This window comes from Homo sapiens, chromosome 11, assembly GCF_000001405.40.
Source record: "Homo sapiens chromosome 11, GRCh38.p14 Primary Assembly".
Taxonomy (NCBI): Eukaryota; Metazoa; Chordata; class Mammalia; order Primates; family Hominidae; genus Homo; species Homo sapiens.
This window is the reverse complement of record NC_000011.10, coordinates 114,692,252-114,705,545: the sequence shown is the minus strand read 5'-3', so window position 1 is coordinate 114,705,545 and position 13,294 is coordinate 114,692,252. Positions and strand designations below refer to the sequence as shown.

Sequence of the window (13,294 nt, the reverse complement as noted above, 5' to 3'; positions counted from 1 at the left end):
TGCAATGTGTCCCTGGGCTCCACCTTGTCCCCAGAGCCACGCTGCTGTGGAACAGCCAGCCAGAGTCAGGAGGAAATGTGTGGCCGTGAAATAGCAGGGCACAGTGGCCCTGCCAAATATTACACCAATGACATTGGCCTCGCTGAATTGTAAATCTCATCTTCCTCAAACTACTAATCCAGGAAAAGAAGCTTGAATGTGTTTATGAAATGAGTGTGTCACATTGTTTATTTTGTGTGTCCCAGAATCATCTTCTCTGGCTAATACTTTTTTTAAAATCCTTAAATCTTAATTGTCATGTCTAGAACTGAATGTAATATTCTCAGTGTGATCTGACACAGAAAAAAGTAGGATCATGACCTCCCTGTTCTGAACACTCCTCTATTAAAATAGCCTAAACTGTATTTACTGACTCCTATTGAGTTTTCCCCCAGGTAAGTTTCTGAGGCCACTTCTATATTCACCACTTAAAATGCACATCTTCTTTGTCATCTACCTGCATTGTTGGGATATGGGGTACACATTGAGGAACTTACATTTGTTCGTATTGAATAACATCAGATTTGTAAGTGGCTCCAAAAATTACAGTCTGGTACTATCTTCCAAGAAACTGCCTGACTTTACTAGAAATTACTGTCCAGGCAAGAGGGAAATAAAAGAGGTGTTACAAACATTCAAATTGCCTCAAGAATCTAAGAACTTTCTTCAGTGTAAAAGTTGGGTGTGAATGATAGTTGCCCTAGCAGAGAAGGGATCTGTCTTCTTCATAGATTGTGAACTTTACATCTGGGTTCATGATTTATTTGTGTTTATGTTCTCCACAGGGTTTAGCAAATTTCTTTGTACAGTAGGACCTCAGTAAACACTTGCTAAATGCATGAAAAAGGGGTGATGAGTAATGGTACACCCCGTTGATTGTTATAATGGAAGTCCTTTGCTTTACTTTAATTTTGAAATTCACTTCATTTCCCGTGTAGCAGAATCATCACTTCTATGAGTGAAATGGTTTTGTGTTGACCACTAAAGTTCATATGATTAAACTGAGAAAAAATTCACAGAAATTCTAGTTCATAGAACTTCAAGTAAGATGGCTTGGCTAAATGAGAAATTAGAAACCACCAAAGAAATGTCCTAACTCTGAATCTGTGCAGCTCATCTGAGACATTTTTCACATAGCACCAGCACCTGATCATTGGCTCTGGAGGAATAAATCTAAATTTAAATACAAATAGCCTGTACATTTTGAGGCAGTGCCACTGAAGTTAATGGTTTCCCTAGCCTTTTATATCTGACTTGGGATGAAAATTGGTTTAAATCGATATGAAAATAATTTCCAAGAATAAAATCCCTTCTCTAAAACCCAAGGTGGTTGATGTAATTTGTCCCAGGAAATGAGAGATCAAATCGTTAATGTGGAATAAATATCTCTAAGTAAGCATGTCCTTTCCGTGGATAAATTGTGATCATGGCAGACAACAACACTCCAGACTTACTGTTGCATGGTATGACCTCAATGGGGGTAAAGTTCTTCATCATTTCAACTCCTATGTTGGACCTGCAAGAAATGGGAAAATAAATTAGCTTAATATCTGCCCAGATAATAAAGTAGGAATCACTGGTTTAGATGGATTAAACCTCTCTTCTCCAAATGCCTTTCCCCCCTTATTTTGATATATTTAAGATATCCTGGGGAAGTTAATGGGTCAGGATTCTGGAAAGCTGTTCCTCTCCTAATGGCAGGGAATCTAGAGATCCAGAGAAAGTCATTCACCCTCCATACGCAATCCATCAAATCTATCTAACATCTATCTATCTATCTGTCTGTCTGTCTATCTATCTATCTATCATCTATCTATCTATCTATCTATCTATCTATCTATCTATCTATCTATGCTTATTTTAATTTTACCTTCTAAATGGCTCTCTACCACAAACTACCCTCTCCACATTTCCACCTGTAGTAATTCAGGCCCTCATCAACCCTTTCCAAGGCTAGTGTTTCTCAAACTTGAGCGTGCATCAGAATTACCTGCAGTACTTTATTACAACTCCAATTGCTGAGCCTCACACCCAGAATTTCTGATTCAACAGTTATGGGGTAAATTCTCAAGAATTTGGATTTCTATAATAACAAGCTCTTGGGCTAACCCAAAGCCAATGGTCTACGGACATTACTTTGAGAACCCTGTCCTAAGTTATTATAATACTATCTTTCTGCCCTTTTGGTTTATCCCACCTAAATACAAACCCTATGCTACCTGTTTTATTCCCCTATGTAAAACTTTCCCATGACTTTCTGTCCTCAACCTACAGAAAAAGCTCCCTAACTGGTATAAAAATCTCCTATGAGTGTCTACATTGCCAGCTTCATCTTCATCTACTCTTCACCTTCTTGAGTTCCCAGGAGTCTATTTTTCATAGTCTGTTATCTCCCTCAGATAGGAATCAAGTCAATATTATTCAGTATAATATTTCGAGTGCCAGCACAGTGAGCTTCGTCTCAAGGTATCAGTCCCAATGACTATGGTGACTATGTCCAGCCAAATTGAATTCACTCTATCGGAATGAAATCCATCTGGGGGAAGGTAGGCCCTTTCAGAGCCAGAGCCACAGAAACCTTCAAAAGGGATAGAGAAAGCCCTTTCTAAGATTGAGAAGAATTGCCTGAATCTCAGGAAATGAGTTTTTGGGTCAAGTGAGGATAATATCCCCTTCATCAAGAAGGCCAGAGGACTGAAGAGAGGTCAGGGTGGCTGGGCGTGATGGCTGCATGGAGTGGTGGAGTCATGGGAGACAGCACTATGGCCCATTGACTTTAGAATAAGATCGACTGGGAATCCCGTTCTGACTCTGCAATTCAACTGGATATGTGACTTTGGCCAACCTATTTAATATGCCTAAATTTTCTCATCTTCAAAATGAGCATAATAATAGTCACTCCAGAGTATTTTACTGAGGATAAATGGTATAATACAAGGGAGGCATCTAACATAAATGTTGGCATATAGTAGGTGCTCAACAAATCATTGCAATTATTATTACTGAGGATCCCATCAGACCTATTTTTGGCACAAGAGTAAGATTTGTCTTTAAGAAATTTAATCTGACCAAACCTCTATTCTCCCATACCTTTCTCAGGTAAGGCTGAGGATAACAAAAGAGATTGAGACCCGGCTACCTTGTAAATTTGGTTACCAAAGAAAAATTTGATGCTACATTAAAATTAGGATTAAAACCATGTATTAATGTTATAAAGGAATTCATTTTAATGTCTCCTGTTTTTGTAATTGTGTATGTGCATTAAATTTTAAAAAGGGGTCTATAATTAATTAGACCATAATAGAAACTAACAGAATAGTGAACAACTGTGTTACCTATGTGATGTCTTCTCCTATGGTAACTCCTCATTTATGTTTTTATCACGATTATCCACAAAACTCTTAAAAAGAAGAAGACTTTTTTAATTTGAAGAAATAAATATCCTAGGAAGTAACATTTCTGATTCTTCAGCCAAGGTTGAGGGAGAGAACCCAGGTGGGAAAATATATTTACAGTCATCCCTCAGTATATGTGGGAGATTGGTTCCAGGACCCCCACCACATCTACAAAAATCAGCATATGCTTAAGTCCTGCATTCAGCCCCACGGAACCCAAGTATGTGAAAAGTCAGCTCTCCATATATTAGGTTTTGCATCCTGTGAATATTATATTTTTGATCCACATTTGATTGAAAATGCTTTGAATATAAGTGGATTTGTGCAGTTCAAATCTGGGTTGTTCAAGGGTTAACGGTACTATGTTACAAATGAAACAGAAACTGGCTTAGTCCCTGTATTCGTGAGAAGGAAAGATGTCAAAGAATTGGGCTTGGGTCTAGGAAGGGACCCTAGAGCTTAGCAATAGAATGGTCCATGAGACTTCTTGGATGTGTAATCAGCTGTTCCTTGCACATGCACTACATCACCTGTAGGGAGACTGAAATCTCTATTTCCATGCAGTAGGAGAAAAAAACTTAATAGCTTGAATAGAGCAGGGGATCTGGGAAGGACTTATGTCTATTTGGAAATAAAGCAGCTTACTATCATGATTACTGTCATGAGCACAGCCCCCTTGAGAAGCCTGATTAGGACCCAAAGTATGTGCCAGTCTGCCAGACTAGGGACTTTGGATTTCCTGAGACACAGCCAGCAACTGTGCAAGGATGGTACCTTCAACCCAGGCTTCAATGAGGACCACCTCAAGAGGGATCCAGCTGTAGCCAACAGGGAATATAGAATCAGGCACATATAAAACATATAGAGTATAGAATCTTAAGTCCACCCTTAGACTTAAGACATAATTCTGAGACCTTCAAGACAGGAAGACCTTTATGTCTCCATGATTATTTTTCCTTTGCTTCATAAAAATTTATTTTTAAAATCCCAGCTTCTTTTAGCTGAGCCATAGGGGATAAAGAGATTTTTCCATACCTTGATCAGGAAAATGTAAAGAAGTGAAGGTGACGTAGGGGTGAAAGGGAGAGGCTGTAGTGATGTAGGGTCAGTTGTGCCCAGCTCTCTGTGTCATCATAATGCTTAAATTGGATTTGAACTTGAATTTCCAGGATATTGTGCTATCCTGGAAATTTGCCCTCTGAAGACATATCAGAAAACTAAAGCCTTTCTATGGCAGCAGCTCCCAAACTGGGGAACCAAAGTCTCTTTAAATGATCCATAAAATAAGTGGTCTGTGGCCAAATAAATTTGGGAAATGCTGTATGCTCTATTCTTGCTTGAAGGGATACATATTAAAGTTTCTGAGAAGTCCTGCTGCAAAGAAACCAACTTAACTTTAATTATTTCTCCAGATTGTATTATTTTACTTATTTTTTTTTATTCAACAAATAGTTATTCAGAACTTTCTCAGTGTCAGGCATTGTGCTGGGCCTGTGAGACAAAATACTGGCCCTGAATGACTTCCTGACAGACATAGATGACTTCTAAGGCCCTGCCTCCCTATCTCATCTTCTCTCTCCCTCACTTCCCGCGTTCCAGCCTTTCTGCACTCCACCTCCACCATGGTTCCTAGAACATTCCAACATGCTCTTGCCTCAGGTCCTATTCCTTCTCTTGAGAATGCTGTTTCCCGAAAATTCACATGACTTACTCCCTCACTTAACTCAGGTTGCTGCTCAAGACAAGCCTTACCTGACACCGTTTTAAAATAGCATCAACCATCACGTTTGAAACTGTTACTCTTATGACCTTCATGTTAAAGAGTTTTAATATTAAAAGAGTTTAAATTTCACCCTTAGAGCCGTGGGGTCATCTTAAAGCTTTTACGGAGGAAATAGTAAAAGACAAATCTGTTTATTTACTTTTTGTCCTTCTATCCCACTAGAATGTTAATTCCTAACACCTAGTGCTGTGTCTGGAATACAGAAGGTGCTGACTACTTATAAATTGAAAGAATGGGCTGGGCGTGATGGCTCATGCCTATAATTCCAGCATTTTGGGAGGCTGAAGTGGGTGGATCACCTGAGCTGGGGAGTTCAAGACCAGCCTGGCCCACATGGTAAAACCCTGTCTCTACTAAAGATACAAAAATTAGCCAGGTGTGGTGGCAGGTGCCTGTGGTCCCAGCTACTCAGGAGGCTGAGGCAGCAGAATTGCTTGTACCCAGGAGGCGGAGGTTGCAGTGAGCCGAGATCGCACCACTGCACTCCAGCCTGGGTGACAGAGCGAGACTCGGTCTCAAAAAAAAAAAAAAATGAATGAATGGTGAAAAGTAGTTAACACTTAATGCTCGCAGAGCTTACAACTTAACAGAGGATATTAAAAATATACTGGAAAATTAATAATGTAATAAGAATTATGTTGCGGAAGAACAAAATGCTAAGGAAAAATATAGGACTAGAACTTCACTCAGGGAGATGGAAAGTTTCCTAGAGGAAATGATGTGTAAACCAAAGCTTGTGAAATGCCAGAGGTGAGAGGACATGGTCCATTTGTTAAATAAAAGGAGTTCCATTGACGGACAGAGGGCAAGGCAGCATAAAGGTGAGACAAGAGGCTGCCAAGGGAGGAAAGTCCTTGTAAAAATATTAAAGAGTTTAAATTTCACCTTTAGAGCCGTGGGGTCATCTTAAAGCTTTTAAGGAGGAAATAGTAAAAGACATAACTGCATTTCAAAAACATTAGTCTAGGTGCAGTGTGGAGAATAGATTGGAAGAAACAGGACTGAGGGCAGAGAAATCAGCTCTGGGGATTGTTGCAAGGATCTGAGGTATGATGGCAGGTTATACAAGGATAGAGGCAATGGTGGTAGACAGAAATGGCTGGGTTCAGGAGATAGTTGGGAGGGATAATGTATAGAGCTTGATGATTCACTGGATGTAAGGGGTAAAGCTCGACTGAACAATGATATCATTCACCACTTTTTTATTGTACAGCATCTATTAATACTCTATAGGATTAGTATTCCCTGGAACACATTATAGAAAATACTGGTCTATAAAAAATTACTGAACCTGGAAGTATTGCAAACCATGGAGAACTATAGGTCTATATTAAGTGCTTCACTGGTTATACTCCTGTCAGCAAATAGTTCTAGGGGTGACTTGTATGGATCCCTGTGAACACACTCCAAGCTGAACTGACTCTGAGGACCTAATTATAATTTAGTCAACATAATTGACATGATACAAAAGTTTGATTAGGCAAAACTACTAGGCAGAGTTTGGTCGGATACCTCTTTTTATCTGCTATTGTATTTAAAAGCCTCTTTACCTGTGGAAAAGCCTCCATTCTTCCTTGCTAAGATAGGAAATATTTCTTGTCCTAGTGGTCATGTGGGTCAAGGCCTCACAGGGCATATGTTGAGGCCTCACACAGTAGAAGGCTTCTTGGTCTCTGTCATCCATGTACTGGCACAGTTCAGCATTTGTGTTTAGGGTCAGGCCACATTCAGTGAAGACATTGGAGCTTCTGTTGGCAAACAGGCCAGTGAAGATGATCCTATCACATCCTTGGTTCCTTGCCCTCCAGAGAGCTGATACCCCTTCACTGGGGTGGATGAGCAGCAGAGACAGGGAAACCTGGCCCTCCCAGAACAGAGTGAAGCTGACCAGGTAGGTGCCGTTGTTGAAGTCAGTCACCTTTCCTGAAGCACCTGCCATTAGTGCTGTGGAGTACATCCTGGCCCTCAGGAAATCCCCACCATATTGCTTCCTGTGTCCCAAGTGGTCCCTCACCTCCAGAAGGATGTCCAGCTGATCCCCCCTGCAGTACGTATCTTGAGGGTTGAGGATGGTGGCTGTGCTGTGTGTGGCACTGGTGGTGGTATTCACATGGGTGAAAGGTCTGGGTGGGATCTGCTGGTCTAGTTTCTCCATAATGTCCTTTATTCTAAGTTCAGTCTCTTTTGGTGAAACTGCTGGACACAGTGGTGTTTCAGAGTGTGAATATTTTTTGAAGATGTTCCCTTGGTTCAGGATAATATGGTTTTCCAAGTTGAACGAGAACTGAAATATTGAAAGGGAAAAGAAAATATCATCAGCAAACAATAGGGCTTGCTTTTCAATATAAATTATTATGGCTTATTTTACATCTTTCAGTGTGATAAATTAAATATCAAAAATCGATACTAACTGGTTTTCAGTTATGGAATCTTCAGAAATGGTTTCCATGTAGTATGACTTCCTCTGCTGCCAGCAGATGGTTTTCTTTAGGAGTCACTGACTTAAAAATTAACTAGATACAATCATGTTATCAATACATACTATTTCATGATTCAATTTTAGAGTTTTTCCTTTTGCTATCCCCTCACTTGACTTTTCTTTTTAAAAACCATATTATCATTTTCTATATCAACAATGCAAACAACAGAGCACAATGTGGTACATGTTTCATGTGCACTGGGAAAGAATGTATATTCCACTGCTGTTGGAGGAAGTGTTTTATGAATGTCAATCAGATTTAGTTGAAGGGTTGTGTTCTCTACTTCTTCTACATTTTTGCTGACTCTATTAGTTTCATGGGGCTGACATCACAAAGCATCACAAATTTAGTGACTTAAAAGAACATAAATTTATTCACTCATAGTTCTGGAGGCCAGAAGTCGGAGATCAAGGTGTCAACAGGGTTGGTTCCTTATAGACGCTTTGCGAAAGAATATATTCCATACATGTCTCCTAACTCCTGGTGGTTTCCAGTAATCCTTGGTGTTCCTTGGCTTGTAGACAGCTTATTTCAATCTCTGCCTCCATTTTTATGTAATCCTCCCCTCTGTGTGTGTTTTCCCCTTTTCTTCTCGTAAAAGGACAGTTGTGACTGGATTTAGGATCCCCCTTAATCCAGGATGATCTCATCTTGAGCCCTTTCACTTATTTACATCATCAAAGAGTGTTTTTCTAAATATAGTGGCACGTCCTTATTCATGATTTTAGTTACCCATGGTCAACCATGGTCCAAAAATAGGTGAGTATAGTACAATAAGATATTTTGAGAGAGAGAAAGACAGAGAGAGAAGCCATATTTATATAACTTTTATTACAGTATGTTGTTATAATTGTTCTATTTTAATATTAGTTATTTTTGTCAATGTCTTACTGTGCCTAATTTATAAATTAAACTTTATCATAGATATTTATGTACAAGAAAAAAACAGCATTTACACTGTATAGCGTTTGGTACTATCTGCGGTTTCAGGCATCCACTGGGGTCTTGGAATATATATTTAGTAGATTTAAGGACTACTGTAGGTCATATTCAGGGGTTTCAGGTAGACACATTTTTAGGGGGCCGTCATTCAACCTGCTAAACTGACTTTCTCTCTACATATTTTATCAATTACTAAGAACAATGTTAATGTTGTTGACTATGATTCTGAATTTTTCCTTTTCTTTTTATTGATATATGCTTTTCTTCAAATATTTTGTAGCTCTGCTATTAGATGTACACACATGTATTGGTTGTTATGTATTTTGGATGAACTGTCACTTTTACCATTACATAATGATCTTATTTATTCTTGGTAATTTTCCTGGTTCTGAAATCTACTTTGTCTGATATTAATAAATTCATACAAGCATTATTTTGGTTAGGATTTGCATGGTATATCTATTTTTGTCATTTTACTTTTAGCCTACCTATATCTTTGTATTTAAAATGGATGCTAGCTTATGGTTGGTTTCTTTTCTTTTCTTTCTTTTTTTTTTTTTTTTTTTGGTTTTTTTGATATGGAGTCTCACTCTGTCACCTAGGCTGGATTGCAGTGGCACAATCACAGCTCACTGGATCCTTGACCTACCAGGCTCCAGGCTTAGGTAATCCTCCCACCTCAGCTACCTAGGTAGTGTGAGCCACCAGCACCTGGCTAATTTTTGTATTTTTCATAGAGGTGGGGTTTTACCATGTTGCCCAGGCTGGTCTTAAACTCTTGGGCTTAAGGGATCTGCCAGTCTCAGCATCCCAAAGTGCTAGGATTACAGACCTGAGCCACTGAGCTCAGCCTGATTTCTTCTTCTTCTTCTTCTTTTTTTTCTTAATCGAGATGGAGTCTCGCTGTGTCACCCAGGCTGGAGTGCAGTGGCACAATCTCGGCTCACTGCAACCTCCGCCTCCCGGGTTCAAGCAATTCTCCTGCCTCAGCTTCCTGAGTAGCTGGGATTACAGGTGCGCCCCACCACACCCAGCTAATTGTGTGTGTGTGTGTGTGTGTGTGTGTGTGTGTGTGTTTAGTAGAGACGTTCTTTCACCATGTTGGTCAGGCTGGTCGCGAACTTCTGACTTCGTGATCCGCCTGCCTTGGCCTCCCAAAGTGCAGGGATTACAGGCGTTAGCCACTGTGCCCGGCCAATTTCTTCTTTTTATACATTCTGACAGTCGCTGTTGTTTCACTGATGTGTTTGGACTATTTATATTTAGTGTTCTATTGATATGATTTGATTTAAGTCTACCATTTCTCTCTTTTTCTAGTTCCGATGCCACTATTTTAAAATGTACCAGAAGTCTCTGTTCTCCTTAACAAGGAGAACAAGGGGAACTAGGTTACTAGAGCCTAACCAAGTTGGGTTTTACCAAAACCTGATCAATCGGGGGTAAGGAAAATACCCAAACCCAGCCTCCATCTGGCCTTCTTATTTCACCTAAGGATAGACGTGGGTATAGGAAAACAGGAAGCTGACAAGCACTTGTGAAGGTCACGATTTAAGGGCACAAGCTCACTAAAATACTGGGACTAAATCACAGTACTACAGAATGCTTCCCCTCCTGCACATCTTACAACCAACTCAATAGGAATTCTGTATAGAAATAGGATTATAGCAAAAAGCACTGCAAGCCTCAGACCCTACTTAAAAAGGAGTCCCTAGAAACACCCAAGGATGAAGTCTCTAGGAGACACATAAACATGGACACTGGAGGAAATTGTAGCCTCTGACACAATATCTACAGTAAACAGTAAACACAGTCTAACTCCTAAACATATAAATATAAAAGCTCACACTAAAGGCCTATCTCAGTTCCAGTTTACCAACTACATCATATCCAGATTTCAATAAAAATTACAAGGCACACAAGAAGAAAAAAAATACAGTCTAAAGGGACAATGCAAGCATCAGAACAAAACTTAGTTATAGTAGAGATTTTGAAATTATCAGACCAGAAATTTAAAATAACTATGATTGAGGTATTAATACTTAGGGCTCTAATAAAAAAAATACAAAACAAGCAGGAACAGATGGGTAATGTATGTAGAGACTTGGCAACTCTAAGAAACAGTCAAAAGGAAATGCTAGAAATAAAAAACACTATATCAGAATAAAGAACACCTTTGATGAACTCATGAACAGACTGAACATAGTCATGTGAAAAATAAGAGAGCTTGAAAGTATGTCAACAGAAACTTCCCAAACTAAAAACAAGAGAAAAAGCATGAAAAAAGAACAGAATATCCAACAACTATGGGACAAACACAATAGGCATAAATACACATAATGGGAATACCAAAAGGAGAATAAAGAGAAAGGAACAGAAGAAATATTTGAAGAAATAATGACTGAAATTTTTCCAAAACTAATAACAGACACCAAGCCATAGATCCAGGAAGCTCAGAGGGCACCAAGCAGGAAGAATACCAAAAATCTACCTCTAGGCATATCACTTTCAAATTGCTAAAAATCAAAGACAAAGCCTAAAATTATGATACAAGCCATACAGGAAAGAAAACTTTACCTATTGAAGAACAAGGATAAGATATCTATGTCCTCTTCTCCAAAACCTGTGAATATGTTAAGTTACATGGCAAAAGGGAATTAAGATTGAAGGTGTAATTATGCTTGCTAATTAGCTGACCTTGAGATGGGAATAGTATCTTAAATTATACAGGTGAGTCAAATGTAATCATGAGAGTTTTTAAAAGTAGAAGACAGTGGCAGAAAAGGAAAAACCAAAGAGATGGCAGTGTGAAAAAGATTTAGACCAATGTCACTCCATGTTGTTCTGAAAATGGAGAGGCCAAGGAAAACAGAGTCTCTCTTCAAAAGGCCAGGGAACATATTCTCCTCTAGAGTTTTCAGAAGGCAGTGCAGCCCTGCTAATACCTTGATTTTAGCCCAGTGAGATCCATTTTGTAATTCTGACCTCCAGAAGTGCAACATAATAAATTTGCATTGTTTAAGCCACTAAATTTGTGGTAATTTGTTATAGCAGCAATAGAAAACCAATATAGTTATAATAGCTGTTTTTAAGTATTTGATAATTCCAACATCTATGTTAGCTCAGGGTTTTGCCTGATTTCTATTCTCTTGCAAGTTGTGGTTTTCCTGGTTCTTCATTCTCTAAATAGTTTTAAATCATATCCTAGATATTTTAAATATTATGCTGTGAGATTCTGGGTCCTGTTTACACTCTAATGATAATTTTGATTTTATTTTTAAAACAAGCATTTGATTTCGTTAGGTTAAGGCTGCAAGTTTCAACCCACCTTTTGTGGGCTTTGGTTACAGGTCTGTTCAGTTCTCAAAGACTTCACTGTATTACTTGAATCTGTTTTATGTGTGTGAAATCCAGTGGACAGTCTGGGACGTGGACAGTCTGGGACATGGGCAGCGGTCCGGTCCATAATTAAATTCCCAAAGCCTTTGGTAGGCTATTTAGGGTAAGATTGACACATGCTAAACTCAGAGTTGAGCCCAGGAGTTCATCAACCACTTTGTGGGATAGCTCTTTTGAACTTCATCTTTTCCACAGTCTCCCTAACACTTTCTCATTCTCTGAGGTGTCCATTATTTGTCCTCCAGCCACAAATATGGGGCAAGAAGAAGGTTTCCCATCCTGAAGGAGAACTCTAATATGTTTCCCTAGGTTACCTGTATCACCTGAGACCAGGCAGGAATATTTTTAAAAGGCCTGACAAAGGCAAAGTGTGCACCACATGGGGTTTTAAACTGTTGAAGAAAATAGTTTGGATAAGATTCGGTATATAATGAGGTCTTTAAACTTCAACAGAAGTACAGTAAAGAGAAAAAGAGTTAAGCTTTTTATTTTGAGATAATTGTAGATTCACATGCAATTGTCAGAAATAATAGAGAAATTGGAGGGATCAAGATGGCTGACTAGACACAAGTATTGTGTGCCTCCTCCATGGAGAAGAGCCAGCGTAGAAAGTAGATAGTTGTTGCGGTGAGCCAAGATCATGCCATTGTCCTCCAGCCTAGGCAACAACAGCAAAACTCTATCTCAAAACAAAAAAAGAAAGAAAGAAAGAAGGAAAGAAAGTAGATAGTCATATTTTGAATAAATTAGCTAGTAGAGAATGCTTGGATTCATCAGAGAAGAAACAGGAAACATCAGAAGTAAGTAAGGAGAGTATTTAAAACAGCTGGCCCAGCTAGGAACTGACTGAGCGTGAGAGGCTCATGGATGCAAGGAAACAGTAAGAGAGAAATCCCCAAAGCTCTGAAATAGGCTTTAATGATCATGGCTGCAGGAGAAAACCTCAACCCATTTGGGCCTCATGTCTGACATAGAGCTGCCTGAAGATCACACAGAAACATTGCTCCAGAAAGGGAACCCACACAGAATTCCACAGGCATCCAAGCCTGGAGCAGACTCAGGTGGGAGCCACTTTGAGAGACTAGATACTGGGGATCTGTAGACATGGCTGTAGCTGCTGCACAGTTCCAAGGATGAAGGGGGAGAATGGGTGCACCCACACAGCCCTGGGAGGGTACTTGCTACCCTGCAACAGAATGCTGTGAGGCTGAGATGTAAATGGACTGCACTCTCCACAGCTTCTTGCCCATGCTACTTGC

General features: G+C 39.4%; 1 protein-coding gene across 8 annotated transcripts in view; it reads right to left on the bottom strand.

Moving 5' to 3' along the window:
- The window catches only part of NXPE2 (neurexophilin and PC-esterase domain family member 2), a 349,427-nt gene that overhangs the window by 108,157 nt on the left and 227,976 nt on the right, over positions 1-13,294 (bottom strand). For all 8 annotated transcript variants that reach the window (XR_001747769.2, XM_017017209.2, XM_017017207.2 and 5 more), the window contains 2 exons: positions 6,768-7,501; positions 1,494-1,555 (listed from right to left, as the gene is read on the bottom strand). Coding sequence is in view for 7 of the 8 variants with exons in the window: in XM_017017209.2 (XP_016872698.1) it covers positions 1,494-1,555; positions 6,768-7,501 (796 nt within the window). In the remaining variant the exon portion in view is untranslated. The remainder of the gene's footprint in view (positions 1-1,493; positions 1,556-6,767; positions 7,502-13,294) is intronic.